Source organism: Homo sapiens, chromosome 11 (assembly GCF_000001405.40).
Source record: "Homo sapiens chromosome 11, GRCh38.p14 Primary Assembly".
Lineage (NCBI taxonomy): Eukaryota > Metazoa > Chordata > Mammalia > Primates > Hominidae > Homo > Homo sapiens.
Window position 1 is genome coordinate 103,460,074 of NC_000011.10, and position 21,193 is coordinate 103,481,266.

General features: G+C 34.1%; 1 protein-coding gene across 5 annotated transcripts in view; it reads left to right on the forward strand.

The window, feature by feature from the left end:
* DYNC2H1 (dynein cytoplasmic 2 heavy chain 1) overlaps positions 1-19,790 on the forward strand; it is a 370,438-nt gene extending 350,648 nt beyond the window's left edge. For all 5 annotated transcript variants that reach the window (NM_001080463.2, NM_001377.3, XM_017018291.2 and 2 more), the window contains 2 exons: positions 8,516-8,632; positions 19,022-19,790. In NM_001080463.2, coding sequence (NP_001073932.1) covers positions 8,516-8,632; positions 19,022-19,180 — 276 coding nt within the window. In that variant the 3' untranslated portion in view covers positions 19,181-19,790. The remainder of the gene's footprint in view (positions 1-8,515; positions 8,633-19,021) is intronic.

Sequence of the window (21,193 nt, forward strand, 5' to 3'; positions counted from 1 at the left end):
GAACTCCTGGGCTCAAGCAATCCTCCTGCCTCAGCTTCTTGAGTAGCTGGGATTACAGGCACATACCACCACACCCAGCTTCTTGACATTTTATTTTAACCTTAGCCCCTAGCTCATGAGAAGTACCTTGGCTATTACTGGTGGGTCATACACTGCTATCCAATTGTCAGGAGAGTGAGGGAACACAAAACATGTATATTTAGTCTCTGGCAGCTGTGAACCATGCATGTAATTATAGCATCATTTTTTAATTTAGGAGTATAATAAGCAAGGGAAACCAGTTTTATTGTGTCAAAATGTGTTCATATTTCCCAAAGTATATTGACCGTTCTTTCAAAATGGGAATAAAGTCGTGCACAACCAGAAAATCCCAAGCTTATATAATTGTTTTGTACATTGGGGCAGTGGGTGGGGTGGGGGGTGGGCTGCACTGACAGTAAAATAAGATTATAATATTAGTATCTGAAAAAGAGCTATGTGACATTTTTAAGCAATTAATGGGGCAGTCTGAGCCTTGGCTGTCACAGTTATGAGTAGACTTCAATAATAACTTCATTGACATGTTTATTATGAGGATCTCTGAAAATATATGTATAATCTGTATATATATAATGAATGTATATTTTTATATATACAATGAATATATATTTTCATATATATTCAGATTACATATATGATTAAGATTTATATAGTAGGAAATATTTGTTTCTTAGTTAGAAAACCAAGTATGTTTTCATATAAAGTTCTGTATATCCAGTGAGCAAAATTCTTTTATTTTTCATTTGGGATTCATTAAAAGATATTTTATTGTTAAGAATTAAAATATTCACTTGTAAATATTTAGTAACATAAATAAGCATGGTATAATGACTAGAAAATAATTGTCATTTTTGTTAGTAATGTATTTCCACATATACTTACAACTTTAATTTTAAAAGCCATCTCTACATATGAGATTTAAGATAACTCGACAGAACTTTTCCTCTCTCTGGTCCATTCATGTGAGCTATAAAAGCACATTTTCTAACTTTCTCGCCTGCAGTTTCCAATAATGTTACCAGGGAAGAAGTCTTTGTAAGGCTTTCACTGTTAGCACTTGGCAAAATTAGTAAGTTCATTTGTCCATTTAGGCTCCTTTTAATTATGTTTTTCAGCAGAGGGGATTGTTTCAATAGGAGAAATTTGGATTTGAATTATACTTGAATTTTACTATCACTATAATTTTATTAGTTTTTTTTAAAATCTCTATCACCATAGACTGAATTAAACAGTGAGGCTGTAGTTCTCCAAACCGATCAATATCTTAAACCCTTTAGACCTACTTGAGAGAACATATTTATGTATTGATTTTCAGTTCCTGAACATGGCCCTCTAAAATTCCTGCCATTATTGATCTATTATGTGTTAAATAGTACTTGAAAACTTGATATTGCAAAATACATAAATCAAGCTCCTGTTCAGCCTACATTTTACATCTTCCTCCAAGGCTGAGAGAGGATTGCCCTAGCAACACTTCGAGTGCTCAGTAGCCATATGCGGTATAGTATATACAGTAACCACATATGGCTGCTGAGCACATACGGGTACTATATTGTAGCTCTGCATGGAACGGTCAATTCCCTAGAAAATGTAAACATCCTTTGGTCTTCAAGGTTTTTTTTTTTTAATAATGTTTAATACTTTCTATTATTAAACATTTTAAACAAATACAGAAGAGAGAGTAGTAAAATGAGTCTGCATATTTCAAGGTTTTAAGATTTAGAAACATTCCACCTTTTTCTCTTTTTTCTTGCTAAAACACATTTCAGACATCATTTTATTTTACCCCTCTATGGTTCTGAATGTGTTTCTTTAAAAATATTTTTTTTCTTAAATATAATGTATTATCACAAATATCAAAATTAAAATTCCTTGGAATCATTTAATATTCAGTCCAAAACAATATTGACCAGTCTTCAAAAGAACTCTTTCCAGTGGTTTGTTTGAATCAGTGTCAAAATAATGAAATGAGATGCTAACATGGCATTTGGTGATGTGCCTTAAGTCTTTTTATATCTAAATCAGGTTCCACCTTTCATTTATTACCACTGTTACAGGAGTGGGGTCATTTCTCCTATAGAATGATGTACATTCTGTATTCATCTGCTTGCTTCCTTATGTTAGTAAACTTTTGTTCCTCTGTCTCTCATTCCTTATAAATATAAATTAATTCCAAAGATCTAATTACATTGATTTTTTTTTGTGTGGAGGGGCAACAAAAATACTTCATAAGTGGCACTGTGTTCTTCATTTTACATTGTATCATAAGGCACACACGTGTTGTTTTCTTGTTTTTAGTCATGCTAACATTGATTCATGTGTACAGGCAGTGACAGCCTCATTCCTCATGTAAAGTTTCTCATCAGTATTTCATCTAATAGATCATTGCTTGGATAACTACGGTTGCACACTGATTTTTCTAATTTTGTTATTCCTTCCACATTTATTAGCTAAAATTCTTCTGCAAAGAGGCTTCAATTAGGTCTATTTAGTTACCTGGATATTATGAAATACATTTTTTGTTGAAAATAAAGAATACCTAATTTTTTCATTTAAACTGGGAATATTCAAAAGATGCTGTTGATAGTTTCCAGCAGTGTCCAGTGACATTTTCTCTTTAAGTATCATTGTGAGCTTCTTGTATATCTAATGTTTCAGTAAATTGCATTTATTTTATTTTTCATGTGCAGTTGTCTCTGGTCTTTGGCATATATGTGACGCCTCTTAATGTTGACCTGTATATCTTTCTTTTTGCTTTTATGAGGAGGGGGTAAACCTTAATAGTGAAGTGTAGCGTCATACACAAAAATGTACAAATTTCAGAGTACAGCTTTATGAATTTTCAGTAAGTGAATAAACCTATGAAACAATCATGCAGATCAGTATAATATTTTATGGTGATTCGTTCTCAAAAATTATGTTTGCAGTTAAATGGACCTAACACATATAGTACAAACCTTATTTTTCTTTCAATATATTGTAAACAACTGAGAACCGCTGAAGATGGCCCAGGGAGATTGTGATTCATCCACTCTTATCTAAATATATACTAATGATTGGTAAAATATAAAAAAAGGAAATCACAAACCTTAGCTGGCTTGAAATACAAGATAAGTATTACATTGTGTCAGAAACAGGACAGAAAATAAAATTATAAGTAGGGCCGGAAATACAGATAGATTGAGCTATAAGTCCAGAATTAGGAAGCAATGAAGCATGGCTTTTTTAAAGTAAAAGGAATTAGTAGTGCTAAATGTTACATAGGACTATAACCAGGCTTGTTGCTGGTCGAATCCAGTTCTGAGGTTAGGCTCTCCATCTCCCCAATAAAAAGAGACTGAATAAAGCTGTTGCAGGCCTGGAGCAGTGGCTCATGCCTGTAATCCCAGCACTTTGGGAGGCTGAGGCAAGCAGATCGCTTGAGCCCAGGTGTTTAAGACCAGCCTGAGCAACATGGAAGAACCCTGTTTCTACTACAAATACAAAAAATTAGCCAGGCCTGGTGGTGCATGCCTGTCATCCCAGCTACTCAAGAGGCTGAGGTGGGAGAATCACCTGAGTCCAGGAGATCAAGGCTGCAGTGAGTCATGATCATGCCACTGTATTCCAGCCTGGGCAATGGGAGTGAGACCCTGCCGCAAATAACCAAACAAACAAAATAAAGCTGTTGCAGAATCACTGATTGAGTTTATGGCATTATAGAAATCTGTAGGCTTAAGAAAGCTGAAAGACAAAGAAATAGCCTGACTCCTTAGATGCTGAATCTCACTACCTATCCACGAGATCTGCAGTATCCCAACATTGCCAGAACAGAACCCCCAAACTGGCATTATAAATATCGTATGTATGTAGATATGGAAGGGACAGTACAGAGGTCTATGGAGGGAAAATACTGCTCAAGATGAACCTAGAATCCAAAATCCAAAGTAAATGGGAAAAAAAATCTAATCCAAAAAGGAAAACTAACAAAATCATTCAGATGAAACAGCTAGTCAATTAGTTGTTAATTTTATAGAAAAATCTGACAAAAAAGTTAACTATTTTAGTTTCCTTGAACAGATACATGAAGGAATAACTTGCAGTACAAAATAACAAGAACTTCTGGAGAGAAACAGGGAAAGATAATACAGTTATAGTTGAAAGTAATGTCAGAAATGAAAAATGTAGTCTTTAAATGAAAAAATTGATAGACAAACTATACATTAGATATGATTGAAGAAGACATGATAAATTGGTTATGTTATGAGACAAAAACAATAGTTTCAGATACTCCAACCTATTTCTAAAAGGATTTCTAGAAGTATAAAACAGAGAGAATGACAGAGAAGAGAAATTTGAAAAACTAATTCAGGAATTTTCCAGAATTGGAGAATGATGAGTTCTTGGATGAAAAGCATCTGCAAAGTACCAAAAATAATAAACAAAAGTAAATTAAAGAGGAAAATCTTCAAAGTTACCAGATAAAACATCAGATTTTCTTCCAAAGTAATCACCATGTTGACAGCGGACTTCTCATTCACAACACTAGATGTCAGAAGACAGTAAAATAATATATTCAAATTGATGAAGAAAAATAATTGTTAAACTTTATTGCCATCTAAAATAATTCAATAATGAAAGCAATAAGAGACTTTAGGAACCCAAAGACCACAAGAATTCACCACTCACATACAGCCTCAATGAAAGCAATATTGAAACATGTACTTCTGCAAAAAGTAAAGCCAGAGAGAAAGTAATGAACACCTAAAACAACAGTGAACCCCAAATTAACAAAATAATTTTAGTGTGTAATTTAACTTAAATTTAAGTAGCTTAAATATTGACTGTAAAATATGTTATGCTTAAGCTGAAAATCTAAACAGCAATAATTCAATTAGATATAATGTGTTAAAATTCATACTATGTTCAGTACTGAATACTTTAAGAATTTATTAGAAAGTTTTACACTTAATTACGCATTTAAAAGTAGATGGTAAAACACTAAAATGGATATACAATCCATAGCAGAAAAGGAGAAAAAGCAAAAAAAGGTAAAGAGAAAAAAATATAAAATGGGAATAATACCAAATATATGACTATTGTAAACATATTAATCCTACCAATTAAGAGAGATTATCAGACTGGGGAAAAAATAAAATCCAGTTAAATGTTACTTAAAGATATACATTTCAGTCGTGATCACGCAGATAATTTGAGAAGTGGAAAAATACAAGAAAGAAGAACTTAATGGTGAAAATGTCCTGTTTACATATCACAAGAGTAAATACTTAAAAAATGTCAGACTTTCCAAAATCAAATTTTAAAATTTAATGCAATTTCAACCAGTATCCCAAAGTGTGTTTTGTTTTTTTTTTTAATCTGTGGCACATGAGTTTGAGTTAGCATTTGCTCAAACTAGCTCAAAACTTAGTGGCTTAGAATACCAATTTATTATTTTCTCACAATTCTGTGGGTTGCCTAGTAGATCCTTTGCTGATTTACTCAGACCCACTCTGCATCTGCATTCGGCTAGATCAGTTAGAAGGGAAGGTCCATGCTGGCCTCATTCATATATATGGCAACTGGTGCTAGCTCAGTCCTTCACATGCCCTCTCATACTGTAGGTACCTCATACTGAGGTACCTCAGTCCTTCACATGCCCTCTCATACTGTAGTAGACTAGGAGAGCTTCCTTATATGGTGGTTTCAGTGCAGCATTTCTAGAAGGCAGAGCCTTTTAAAGCCTAGCTTCAGAAGTTGCTTAAAGTCCTACCACATTCTATTGGTCAAAGCAATTTAAAAGACCAGCCCAAGTTCAAGGGGTAGAAAAGAAACTCCACGTCCTGAAGGAAGCAGCAGCCAAGCTTACTTGGCAAAGGGGTGCATATTAGGAGGAGAGGAATGTTTGACCATATTTTTCACTGTGTCACACTATTATTATTGTTATCATTATTAAGCAATGGCAGTTGAGACAGTATGGTGCTGGTTTAGGGAACGACAGACTAATGTAACACAAAAAAAACAGTCCAGAAACAAACTTATGCCAGTATGGAAACTTGACACATGACAAAAGTGGAGTTGGTTACAAATTAGGGGCTTGGAAGGACTATTTGATAAATAATTCTGAAACAATTGCTCACTCATTTAGAAAATGATAAAATTTGATCCATACTTTATATTACAAATAAAAATTGACTCTGAAGGTTTAAAAAGTTACAGAAATAAAACTGAAAGAGAAGACTTTTAGAAACAAAACACAGGAAAATATCTACTCAGGATTTCTTTAGACACAAAAGAAGTAAAAGTCTTAAAGGAAAAAGCTGATAAATTTGCTACCCTGAAATTAAAGATACCATAGAAAGTGAAAACACAGGCCACAGACTAGGAAAAGATACTAGTATCTTGTATAACTGACAAAGGATTAGTACTTAAAACAGATAAAGGATGTTTATAGATCAATCTTTTAAAGAAAATGTCCATAGTAAGGAAAAGGTGGAGGTGGGCAAAAGATTTTAATAGGCAACTTAGATGAAGAGGAAACCTGAATGGCTAATAAACATAAGGAAAAGTACTTGTTCTTACTAGTAACTAGGAAATGAAATTAAGACCAAAATTTGATTCCATTTCATGCTCATCAGATTGACAGAATTTTTAAGTCTCAACAGACCAAGTATTGGCAAGATTGTAGCATAATGTAAATTCTTATATATGACAAGTAAGAGTATAGATTGATAGAGTTACTTTGGGGAATAATTTGTCAATATTAGGTAAAATTGAGATTGACCACACCTTCAACCTACCTAGAGAAATTCATGCAAATGTGTATAAGGAAGTACACAGCATGGTTATTGAGGTGTTTTTTTAATAATGGTAAACAGTTGGAAATATTCACCAGCAGAAAAATGGATAAATTGTTGTATATTAACAAAATGAAATGTGCAGCTGTTGGAAATGAAAGAACAAAATGGATGCACCTTAAAACCAATAATGAAGGAAAAGAGTAGGTTGCATGTTACCCTTTATATAGAGATTGGAAACATGAAAAACAATACTATTTATTGTTTATAGATACAGATAAAACTAAATTCAGGCCAGAATATTTTCAAAACTCTTCAAGTGACCTGTATATCCCATTAGTCATATAGTAGAAAGAATATTTAAGTATTAAATAATTATATTATCATCCCAGCTCTTTTACTAACAACAAAGTTACTTATCTTTTCCTTGCAACAGCAACCTTACTGTAAAATTCAAGTAATGAAATCATTCAAAACAATTGGTTAAGGGATTCTCTCCTAGCACCTAAACCATTCCCTGACTGTATGTTGCTGAAAATTATCTTCACTCTTCCAATTTAGTGTTCCCTTCATTCTGAATTCTATAGTTCTTTCATTTAGTATGTTAAAATTTGAAGGCACTGTTTTGTTTTGTTTTGTTTTGTTTTGTTTTGTTTTGTTTTGTTTTGAGGCGGAGTCTCACTCTGTCGCCCAGGCTGGAGTGTGGTGGCGCGATCTCGGCTCACTGCAAGCTCCGCTTCCCGGATTCACTCCATTCTCCTGCCTCCGCCTCCAGAGTAGCTGGGACTACAGGTGCCCGCCACCACGCCCAGCTAATTTTTTGCATTTTTAGTACAGATGGGGTTTCACCATGTTAGCCAGGATGGTCTCCATCTCCTGACCTTGTGATCCGCCCGCCTCAGCCTCCCAAAGTGCTGGGATTACAGGTGTGAGCCACCGCGCCCAGCCGGCACTGTACACTTTAAGTTTGTTTATATTTTGTACCAAGTTCAAATTATGATAATATAGATGTGGCTCTTAGGGCAAAGTGCCAGAAGAGCTATAAATGCCAAATACTGACTCTACATTTGTTACCTTTAGGATAGTCAGGCTAGATTAACTGCAGAAACTAAAAGAATGAAGAGTTTCAAAGAAGAAATATGAAGATAATAATACCAAAAGAACCGTGTTTTCATTTTCAGGATTTCTTATATCTACACCAAGGTTACCTTAAAGACATGAATTCTTTCTTCTCTTTAATTCTTCTTTCATATTCATATCACATGTCGTTTTTTTCATTACACTTTCTGAACTTTATTCTATTCCTTAAAAGGTGTCAGAATTCCAGGTTGGGAATACAATGTTTGCTCTCTAATTATGCTTTTCTCCCTTCCCTCATGGAGAAAGAATAACTTTTTGGCTTTTGCCACTGTAATTCTATTACACTAATGTCAAGACACCCGCAGTTGTATAACAGATGAGATTTATATGTAATTTCAAAAATATATTTGCTAAAAATGAGAAATCAGTCTCAAAGAAGTTGACAGTGAACACTAGTCCAGGCCTTACTGACTTTATTCTCAAAGTACCATAATCTTTGTTTTCATATATTTGGAATCGGTGAACACAATGGAAAGCATAGCTCTTAAGGTAGAATAGAGTAACCTCTGACATTTGCGACTTTAATGCATATTTTCATGACATATTTGTTTCCATGGCAGATCAGTGGCTTGTTACTAGAAGGATGTAGTTTTGATGGAAATCAACTTTCTGAAAATCAGCTTGATTCTCCCAGCGTGTCATCAGTGCTCCCTTGTTTTATGGGCTGGATTCCACAGGTAATACATTTTTAACAAGCACAAGTTTTAATTATATCAGTTCTCTCTTAGATTTTATCTTTTCAAGAAGACATTCTTGGCCTGTGTATTTTTGTTTGCTTTCTAATCTCACCTGCATTTGAACAAATTTGCAGTCAAAAGTACTTTATCCTTTATCATGTTTAAGATGCACAAGACATTTGAAAACCTTGATTTTGTTATAGAAAGAATAACATAGTATTAATTTCTGGAGAGTTTATAGCCTGGTAATAAAAAAGCCTTTAATGATAATAAGAACTACCATGTGTTGCATTCCTCTTATTTTCAGCAATGTGTGCTAGGTACTTTATATGCTTTACCTAAAATCCTCCTCAGAGCAGCCATGCAAGGCAGATATTATTATTCCCACTTTCAAATGAGGAAACGTGCTCACGCAGGTTAAATGACTTCTCGTAGTTAGCTACACAGAAAGTGATAGAATTAAGGTGTTAATAGATGTATGGCTTTGTATCACACAATGTCATTATGCAGCTGATAGGTGGATGAAGAAAACAATCTTAAAGACTTATTTAGTTAACTTTTTTCCTTTCAAAACCATTATTGAAAAAACTTTCAACAGTAGAACTTGGGGTATACATGTCTTTCAAATAGGACATAGTTGTAAAGAAGCACATAACTTTTTCTTAATAAAGTTTAAGAATGCACATATGACTACATGTGAATAAACTTTAAAGTTCTGATTGTGTATCTAATGAGCAACAAAACTATTTCATATATTGCTCACTACAAGAAAAATGAGCTTTCTCATTGGGAAATAATGCATTGAATTTTCCAGTTATTGTCATTCTCCTTATAAAATAAAAATCAAATGCACCAGAGTATTTATTTAAGGAAAATCTTAAAAAGCGATAGCAGTTAGCAACATTGCCAAGACAGCTATAAGAGTATCCTCTGACCTAAAAGAGCATATGTTTCTGTCAAAATTCCCTATTTTTCCCCCATATCAGCTTCATTTTCTCCAAAATTAGAGTGACTATAAGATAAAGGAGAGAGAAGAGACTGAAAGAATCAATGTTTACTTCAATCTTGCTGTTAATTCCTATAAGAATTTTCTACAAAAATTTGGTAAATTATGAATGACACATTTTTGTCTTAGCTGTGTAAATCAAATTGAAACTTATATACAAAAGTTAAGGTTGGAATTTGTCAAGTGTTGTGAATATAACATACAAAATTGTTTAGGATGGCAGAGATAAATTCCAACGAATTTAAATTATATAAACTGCTAATTCTCTGGAAAATAAAATCCATATAATGATCATGAGGAGGAAAAAAAAAAGTAGGGCAAGTATAAACAGGTTCACTTGAGGAAAAACCCAAACAATAAAAATAGAGCTTGAAGAGCAACTAAGAATAAATATAGGAGACAATGACCTGGAGCCATACCCACGTACTGAACGCAAATCAGGAATGCAGTGCTGTCATGGACAAAGCCAATCTGTTACTGGGTTGTATGAAAAGCAATGTGACTTTACAAGACTAGGAATTGATAGCTTGGCAATATTTTACTTTGTGTATTATTTCTATCCAGTTTTATTTGTCATACTTCTAAAAAGTCAGGATTGGAATAAAAAGCTAATTTAATTTGAAAAATAGCTCATATAAAGAGAGGTAAAATGAATAGAGCATTTATCCTATAGAAGAGATGACTAAAAGGTAATATGAACTTTTTACTCTTTTTCTTTTTATTATTATTCTTTAAGTTTTAGGGTACATGTGCACAACGTGCAGGTTTGTTACGTATGTATACATGTGCCATGTTGGTGTGCTGCACTCATTAACTCGTCATTTAGCATTAGGTATATCTCCTAATGCTATCCCTCCCACCACCCCACAACAGTCCCTAGAGTGTGATGTTCCCCTTCCTGTGTCCATGTGTTCTCATTGTTCAATTCCCACCTATGAGTGAGAACATGTGGTGTTTGGTTTTATGTCCTTGCGATAGTTTGCTGAGAATGATGGTTTCCAGCTTCATCCATGACCCTACAAAGGACATGAACTCATCATTTTTTATGGCTGCATAGCATTCCATGGTGTATATGTGCCACATTTTCTTAATCCAGTCTATCGTTGTTGGACATTTAGGTTGATTCCAAGTCTTTGCTATTGTCAATAGTGCCGCTATAAACATACGTGTGCATGTGTCTTTATAGCAGCATGATTTATAATCCTTTGGGTATATACCCAGTAATGGGATGGCTGGGTCAAATGGTATTTCTAGTTCTAGATCCCTGAGGAATCGCCACACTGACTTCCACAATGGTTGAACTAGTTTACAGTCCCACCAACAGTGTAAAAGCATTCCTATTTCTCCACATCCTCTCCAGCACCTGTTGTTTCCTGACTTTTTAATGATCGCCATTCTAACTGGTGTGAGATGGTATCTCATTGTGGTTTTGATTTGCATTTCTCTGATGGCCAGTGATGATATTTTTCTGTAAGATTTTCTCCTGGGCTTTTACACTTGTACATGACATGTAATGGAAGAATTTGTTAGTGCTTCCCCACCTCCTTTTTCCCCTTCTTTCTTTACAGTGAGCCTCCTCCTTGTCCTGTAATCATACTACTTTCAGAATGTCTGTCCCATATCAGCTAAGAAGGAAAGAACATGAGATCTACTGCTAAGTGTTTCAGAACACAAAATTCTCTAGTTCAGCAGACCTAAATTGTAATCCAAGTTTCCAAGCTTATGAATTAGGTGATTTAGATAAGGTACCTAACTTCACTGAGCCAGTTTCCTCATTTGAAAATGGACATAATAATGTTTCTGTAGGATCATGTTGAGGATTAAATATGTTTGTGTGTGTGTAAAGTACCTAGCACAGTGCTTCATACATGGTAAGTCAAATTTATCCTGTTGTCAATAATTTAAACTTTTATAATGCTATAATGTTTTATCTTATTTCATATGGTACTTTTTAGTTTACCAGTACTTTCACTCATTATTAAGTTATTGTTGAGTTTTTATATACCAGATGTTATGCTGAACCCTGGGGTTACGAAGATAAACAGATTTCTCCTGCAGAGTCTTCCGCCAACTGGGGAAGCAAATAAGCAAAGAGAGTGCTACAGTTCGGAATCATTAGTGCAATTAGAGAGGTTTATATAAAGTGCTTTGATAGATGAGGGAGGCTTCAACTCTACCATGTGTGAACAATGAGGGAAAGTCAGATGACCTCGCTGAGAGAGGTGGCAGCTTCTCTTGAACTGTTACTTGAACTTTAGTAATAACAGTTTAAGGACAAATTCAAAAAAGATAGGGTAACAAGGCATTCCAGACAGAAGTAGCAGCATATGTAAATATATGCAGATAGAAAAGAGCTTAGGATATTCTGGGAACAGCAAGTATTGTACATCTGGAGGGTATAGTTCATATGGAAGAATGGTGGGGGATGCGGCCAGAAAGGAAGGCCAAGACCAAGTATGAGAAGCTGAGTAGCCATGCCAGAGTTTAGACCACCTTATGATCAGTAGGAAGCCATCAAGAATTTAGAACAGGGCCAGGCACGGTGGCTCACACCTGTAATCCCATCACTTTGGGAGGCCAAGGCAGGAGAATCACTTGAGCCCAGGAGTTAGAGCCTGGCTTGGGCAACATAGCAAGACCCCATCTTTATTAAATAAAAAAAGAATTAAAAAAATTTTTTTTAAAGAATTGAGAACAGGAGTATGGTAAGATCAGATTTGTAGTTTTAGAAAATCGGTCTAGCAGTGAGTGGTTGGATAATAGATTGGCACACTGTGAGATACAATTATACTGGCGTCTCATAACAATCCTATGAGTTTGGTACAGCAAATTTTCTATTTTTCTGATGAAAGGACTGAGAATCAGGTAAGTTAAATGACTTATGAGTTCCACATTGGTAGCATTAGTGTCCAGACAATCATAGTGAACATTTATTTGCACTGATTACATACCAAGCACTATGCAAGGTGTTTCAAATACAAGATATTAAGCTTTAAAAAAAATTTTGAAATAGGAATTGTAATCTCCATTTTAAAGTAGAAAATGGAGGTTTAAAAGATTATGTATTATTATATGATAATAATAAAATTCAGAACTTTGGTAACTAAACTTTTTTTTTACACCAGAAGGAGGTTATTTCACAAATTATTTTCACAATATTATCTGACACCCAGTATCCCTGAGGAGCTTCGTTTCAACAGAAACTTGCCCACTAACCCAGTCATTTGCACAACATTGCTTTGAGTTAGGCTGCAGCTCCATTTTTCAGAGAACATTTTAGGTTGCAAAAGATTGAAGAACTTCAACATTGTTTCAGTATGTGGTGATACTTAAAAAAGGGTATCATCAACAAATTCTAAGACTTCTATTGGGGCATGAAGAGGAAGCTCTATCATTGCCTCTATTTGAAATGCAGTGTACTTTGTGAATTAACAAGATTGGAATGATGAATTCAAGGAAAAATGAAAATAAATAAAATGCTGATGAAATATTTTTCTAGTATTTCTGTTTACCATTATCTATGTACTAAGATAATATAACTGACATTCACACTATTTATTCATTCATGAAACAGATTTTTTTTTTTTTTTTTTGAGATGGAGTCTCACTCTGTCTCCCAGGCTGGAGTGCAGTGGCTCCATGATACAGATTCTTAAAGTTACTCCAGTTCCAGTTCGGTGCAGTATTTTTGGTTAAATTAATATTGGTTCAAATTAAGATATAGCTAGAGGATTTTACCCAGAAAGCATTAGCTTTTTCCAGTGCATTTCTTAACATGTTTCTATATATCATAATAATTCTCTATGAAAAATGATTCAGTAAACAAACTTAATAAACACAATATTCCCTCCCTTGGAAAGTCTTATATTAACATCTCTGAGAAGTCCCAAAGATTACTTACCACACAACCTTCTCATGCCCCTACACCCTATGCTCCATCAGGATCTAATATTCCACATAGTATGATTTGGTCAACACTGCTTTATGATGAAGACCAGTCTCAGTGATGCCCTTCTGGCATTCCACAGGAAGTCAGTTTGCCTTTGCTCTATCTTCCTGGAAATAATGCTCCTGAGAGTTTATCAGCCCCACAGTAACACAGTAGTCCTGAGCCAGCCTGAACCCATGAGGCTGGATCTTCTGATAGGCACAATTGACAATTCAGCTTCAGAAAAAAATTTATTCTCAGAGAAAATAGAACTATAAAATATTTACACAAGCTACTCAGGAAAACAATCATTACTTTATATTTTGTATAGATGTTAAAATATCACATATATCAGAAGATATGTGTTGAAAGTTCTGCCTTCTATACACTCTGGTTTAAAAATACCAAATATTTCACTAACATATTTTGTATGTTATTTTTTTTCTTCAAGGACTTATTATGAAAGTAATGATGTTATCACTATATTGTTGAAAAATCAGGGAAGTATATCTTTACCAATATACATTTTGAAACCTAGCTAGACATTCTTAACAGAACAAAGTCAGAGTATTCATTGGTGGCAAGCTGTTTTGTTTCCTATTTTGAGATTTTTTTCCCCCAGAATTGCATCACTGAATTGTGCTACTTGTACATACATTAGAACTCCGATTTCCTATCATTTCCTCTTCTAAAAAAGAACTGTTCATTGACTTGATTATAAACATTCAGAAAGCATGTGTTAAAATAAGTTGGACTGTGCATAGACTGATGAATATATTTTGTTTTGTCTTCATATGTGTTTTGTTATGAAATTTAATTGAAATTGGCCAAATAGCTAATATGAGTAACGTAATAATTTTGTTTTCATTGTTTGGTTTTGCTTTTCCTTGCTTTCTTTGGTTTGCAAACTAAGTGATATCTAATATGGTAGTCCCTCTGTATCTGCAATTTCAGTTACCCACAGTCAGCAAATAAATGAATATAGTACAATAGGTATTTTGAGAGAGAGAGACCATATTTGCATAACTTTATTATTGTGGTATTGTTACAATTATTCTATTTTATTATTATTTATGTTAATATCTTACTATACCTAATGTATAAATTAAACCTTATCCTAGATATGTATGTTTAGGAAGAAACATAGTATATATAGGGTTTGGCACCATCCGCAGTCTCAGGCATCCATTGGGGCCTTGGAATGTATTCCCCATGAATAAGAGGGGACTACTGAGTCACCATTTTGCCTTTGAAAATTGCATTGTCTTCTTTCAAATAGTAGTGTATTGCTTGCTATTTGTAGAATGTATGTTTTTAAGTCATTTTGCCCAAGGCATGGGCAAATTTTGTTGTGAGACATTCAGGCTTTTCTTGGACACTTTAGGAAAGCAGAAAAATTATGCAAGATGTTTATTCACATAAAACAATTTTTATTTATGAAAAGCTAATTGATTCAAATGAGTGTAAAATTTCAAATTTTAGCCTCATTATTGAACAGAACTGGACCAGTTTGTTTTAATAAAGATATGGTTTATGAACACATCAACCATTTTAGAGTAATCAATCACAATTTATAGATTTTGAATTACTGTAATTGCACAAAACTTTGGAGGAAATATAATGTGAATTATTTGAAGTCTTCCTAATATATCTCCTTTTCTGCATTAATTGAACACAGGGTGTTTGTTCATAGTTATTAATAAAATTTTAGTTTCATCCAAATACTTCAGCCCAACAGTGTCTTATGTTTTGCCTGTTAAAGATATTAAAGAGGGAATTGGGTCATAATAATTTAATTCAGTTAAGGAGTATTCAAAGAACTTCTATATACACAAAACATTGTGCTAATATAATAGTGAGAATGCCAAAAATACTTGTCCCTGCTTCTACTGTGAGCATTTATTTATTGGAGACTTAAGAGCAAGTGTATTTAACTTTTTTACAGAAGTAACATTTACCACTGAAGAGATTTTGAGAAGTGACAAAATATCAAGAAGCCACTGTATTGCTTTGCTTTAAAACACTGTAGGTTTTGAAAGAAAGATTTGTACCCTGGCTGTAAGACAAACAAAGCCTACAACTAAAAGATTTGGAAGAATTTGGAAATATATACAAAAACTAGTAAACTGTTAGTGAATATGCAAAAAATCAGCTTTAAGTTGATAATAATCAGCATTATTAAGTTCCTAATTTAAAGAGAAATAGTCTTTACATCGATATAGAGAAAATCTCCTGACTAGAAAGGAATAACATCGTAAAACATTTCATTGTGGTGTTTCTATTTCAGTTTTGATCATAGAAGTAATGGAAAACAAAGCAAATATCAGGTGTTGGAAAAAGATAATTTAAGACCTTTCCCAGGATTAAAAATAGGCAATCATAGATTCAGATCACTTCAGTCTAACAAATATGTGATCTTTGTCTGCTCTTTGCCAAAGAATGTAAAGGAATGCTTGCACTAGGCTTTACCTTTTAAGATCGGCTAAGGAGTCATGACAATTACAGGTTTTTATTCCTAAAGCTTTGCCATCTAAGCAGAATTGAACAAGAGGGAAGAGATTAGTCAGTGACTGATAAAAGTTGAAAATTCTCTTTATCCCAAATCCCACATTTTTTTTTCTGAAGTTCAACTAAGGATTTACTCTCTCCATGAATCACTGTTAGGTTAACATATCCCAGAGTAGCATTTTCTTTATTTTGATTTTCTGAAGTATATATTTTCCCAAAACTTATATTCTAGATATTTGATATGTGTGTATTTTGTTTCCTAAAGTAAAAATTCAAAGGAGATTATTTTCTCTATTTCTCTATGTACTGAAATGCTTAGCCTTTACAATTCTAGGCACAATATTAGCATATAAAGTGCTGTTAAATGAATAGCTGAATAACTGACAAGCTCATCAGTGCAAACAGATAATTAGAAAAATTTAGGACAGATGGTGTTTTTATCTATTTGGGAATCATTTTACCTAGAGAATATGTCTTGTTATATGTAAATCAGGTTAAGTTTTAAGAATGTTAGGAATGAATAATTTTTTGGGGGACATACTGATTTATATCAAGGGCCAGAAGAGTCAGAGCAGTTGTTGGTGTGTGGGTATGTGTGTGGGCGGCGGAGGGAGAGAGACAGAGAGAGGAGCAGGATTGGAAAAGATAATGTAAAGTTCATATAATGCCCACTTAGGCTTAAAAGTAGAATGTCTTAATTTTCTGTGAAAGAAAATTATTTTACTGCTATCATAACACCATTTAAGAGATGTAGTAGCTGCCAAAAAGCTGATTTTTTCTAGTCGATTTGAGAATTAGCAGGGAATAAGGAAAAGGCAGTCCAAAGAATCAGAGACATGTGGATAAATAATACTTATATCTGGAGCTCTTTAATATGACATCTGATTCTTTCCACATCCTGTGAGGTGGGTAAGTGTCATTTGTCTTTCTATAATAGTGAAACTGATGTTCGGAGAGTAACCTCTACAGGGTCAGGAGCTCCTAGACAAGTACTCCAGAGCCTGAAAATAATTTATTTCCATAAATGTTATTGTGTTCTATTTTGCAAAGTAACAGAATAAGAGACATTAGTTGCTAACATTCATATACTAGAGTGTTTTGTCAACTGTAGTATCTGTGACAACTTTGCCACTTCCTAACTAGGCTACCATGGGTAAATTCTCTGTGGGCTTCTGAAGTGTCACTTTTGTAATATTTTAAAATGGGTCTAGCTTGCCTCTTAAGTTCCATTCCAACTCTGCAAAGTAATAATTAATTGAATAAAATCATATAAATTCAGTAAAAATGCTAATCCTATATTTGAATTGGAAATACAATTATGAACTCATGATGTTTTTCTTTTAAAAATACATGATTTCTAAGCTCCAGTCACTAAAACATCCTAGAATTAAAATTATCAATTGGCCGGATGCAGTGGCTCACGCCTGTAATCCCAGCACTTTGGGAGGCCGAGGCACACGTATCACGAGGTCAGGAGATGGAGACCATCCTGGCTAACACAGTGAAACCCTGTCTCTACTAAAAATACAAAAAAGTGCCCAGGCGTGGTGGCAGGTGCCTGTAGTCCCAGCTACTTGGGAGGCTGAGGCAGGAGAGTGGAATGAACCCGGGAGGTGGAGCTTGCAGTGAGCCGAAATTACGCCACTGCACTCCAGCCGGGGCGACAGAGCAAGACTCCCCATCTCAAAAAAAAAAAAAAAAAAAAAAAAGATCAATTATTCCTAGCACCCAAATTATGGTCTCTAATACCATTTCTCTTGAAAGAAACTAGGAATCATCAGATTAATGACTAATTTCCAGGGCAGGAAATATAAAAGATGAACTTGTATAATAATACCTGTCATACTAGAAAGGCAGTGAAACTACTGAAGAGACAACTGGGGACGTATCAAAACTCAGGAGCCAACTTAAAAAGTTCCCCTGAGCGAAGACTGACAATTTGAACACCAATGCAGTAGCGATTGCATTGCATTAAAGCACATCATATATGTTTAAACCCACCAGTTCATAATACCATTTTTTAAAAAGAAGGGGTGGTCATTGATCACCTTTGGAGTGTGCTAGGAAACATTCACTGTTTTGAAAACACATAAAGGGAAATAGGCATTTATCTAGTTTTTCTTATATGAACTGCACCTCATGGTAATAAAAAAATTGATAAGTGGAAGTTTCTCTTTATAGATATATTCCTGCTTGGAATAAGGAATGATAGATTACCCCTTGTGTAACCTTGAATGAAAAGTGATTATCAGTGGCCTCTAATAGCCAAAAAAGAGAGACAACCAGACATATGCTGCTTGATGGAAACATCTAGTACCACCTATGCGGTATTTTCCAAACATTGAGTCTGAGCTCACCTCTAGATCCAGTTTATAGGAATACAAGGAACAGACAGAGCAACGTGATACCATGGGAACGTAACCCAAAAAAGAATATGGGAAACTATTTGGTATAGTTTCTTCTGCAAACAAATTGCTAGGAAAAGAGGAGGAAAAGCTTACAGATTTAGGAGACTTAAGAGACATTTCAACAAACTGCAAAGCATAGGCTTCATTTAAATTATGATTCTAACAGAAAAACTCTTTAAAACAGGAGATGAGATAATGGATGTGTGATGATATTAAGGAATTATTGGTAGTTTTCTACTGTGTGATAATACATGGTTCTATTTTATTTATAGAGATATATATGTAAATATTTATAGGTGAAATTTTGTAATTGTAAGGTGCTGTTCAAAATACTCCAATGTTTGGGGCTAGGGAGAGGTTGTAAATAAAACACGATAGGCCATGTGTTTCATTTTGTTGCAGGGGGATGATAGGGGTTCATCATATTAATTTGAAACATTTCATAATATAATATTAATATGTTTGTTTCCTTGGTTATCTAATAATCTGTTTCCAAATAGTGTATTGCTTTATTTTAAAACAAGTTATTTTTTAAACAGGATGCATGTGGTCCATATTCTCCGGATGAGTGCATCTCTTTGCCTGTTTACACAAGTGCTGAAAGGGATCGTGTGGTTACCAATATTGATGTTCCATGTGGGGGCAACCAAGACCAGTGGATTCAGTGTGGAGCAGCTCTATTCCTAAAAAATCAGTAGAATCTAATGACAACAAAAGCCATCTTCACAAAAGGGAACATTGATTCTTTAAGCTTTAAATCAAACATGTGGTCAGTCTACATTTGAAATGTTAGTTCAAAATATTAACATATAGTTATGTTGTTGATGTCACTGAAATTTTAATGTGTAAAAGCAGCACTGTGCATCTTTTAAAGTAATAAATTAATGGAGTTATTGTTAAAACAGAGTATTCTTTTGACAACATTAAATATTTCTGTGAGAAAGTTCACTTTTCCAGTGGCTCAAAAATTTGTTTTAGGTCAGAGATTTTAAGTGGTATATTAACCAATAATAAATATTTTGGCTGTCATTTGTGTCATAATTATTTAATAAAAGAGCATTCATAATTTTTGCAGTCTTCCCATGACTCTTTTTACATACTGAAGAATGTATTATAAAGTTATAATGAATGTATAAAAGTATCAACATGAATATAATTATACTATGCTAATTATAATATACAAATATATAATTATTGTCATAATTATATACTTATAACTAATATCTTAAGGTAATTCAAATAGGAATAATTCAGGTGACATAATAATGGAGGATAAATTCTGGTTATTAAACATTCAGCTTTTTTGTGTTTTTGTTGTTGTTTTTTGAGACAGGGTCTCACTCTGTTGCCCAGGATAGAGTGCCGTGATGCAATCACGGCTCACTGCAGCCTCAACCTCATAGACTCAATCTATCCTCCTATCTCAGCCTCCTCGTAGCTGGGACTACAGGATACACCACACTGCCTGGCTAATTTCTTTATTTTTTTTGTAGAGATGGGGTTTCGCCATGTTTCCCAGGCTGGTCTCAAACTCCTGCACTCAAGTGATCCACCTGCCTTAGCCTCCCAGAGTGCTAAGATTATAAGCGTGAACCACCACACCTGGCCTGTATTTTTTATAAGAGCTATTACTTTAGCTCTGCAAGATTCACCAAAATCTAAGGAACCAAAAATACTGTTCAGTTGAGTGACAGACATTTTAGTATCCTATGAAGTTTTTTGCAGCTCTATTCTTGCAGCAAACAAATTCTAAGAGCTGAGGCTTATATTTTTGATAGTTATTTAAAAAGTCATATCAATGAAAAGTTATATATTTAGAGGAGAAACAAGATAAAATGGAAAACATTTTTAGAAAAATATATTTAAATATGTACTTTAAAGGAATATATTTAAATGTATATATTTAAATATATTCTTTTAAAAATATGTTTATAGGGCTTGCTGTTGACATTACAAGATCAGCTAGGAAGGGAAAAGCATGGACGAATACACATGGAACGTTTTTGTGGGCCGTGTCTGGAAATGTCACGCATCATTATGTTTACATTCCATTAGAGAGAACTTAATTACATGGGTATACATAATGTCTAGGGTGGCTGGGAAATGTAGTCAGCTGGGTGCTCAAAAACAGAAGAGGATGGAGGGCTAGCTAGCTCTTTCTACCACATCCCCATCCAGTGAAAAATTTTAATTCATTACAGAAATGTATTCAGTACAATGACATAAAATTACTTAATAAAGCAGCATAGGTCTTTAATATGATGCAAACCTCATGTTTATGAATTTTTGCATTAATATTCAGCAAAATAAGCCAGATACTGGCCAGATTCCAGAAATATGAAGATAGATAATACAGTCCCTGCTCTTCAGAGATTTAAAAGCTGATCGGACAGTGAAATATGTAAAAACAGTCTCCACACTGTAAATGTTTTAATCTGATATTAATATTGCTATACCACCAGCTTTTTTGGTTAAATTTGGGAAACAATACATTAAAAATGCCCACATAGAGACAAATCATAGCACAATGAAATAAGAGTTACGTGGCACGGTAGCAAAGGGCCGTGGGATTCCAGGGGAAGGAGTAACTAATCAAAAATTATTAGTAACAGTAGGCTTCTTTTTCTCTTTTTAAAAAAACTTACTTTGAAAATATTTTACAAAGAATAAATTAATTGCCTTCCTCAAATGAACAAATATTAGATGTTACG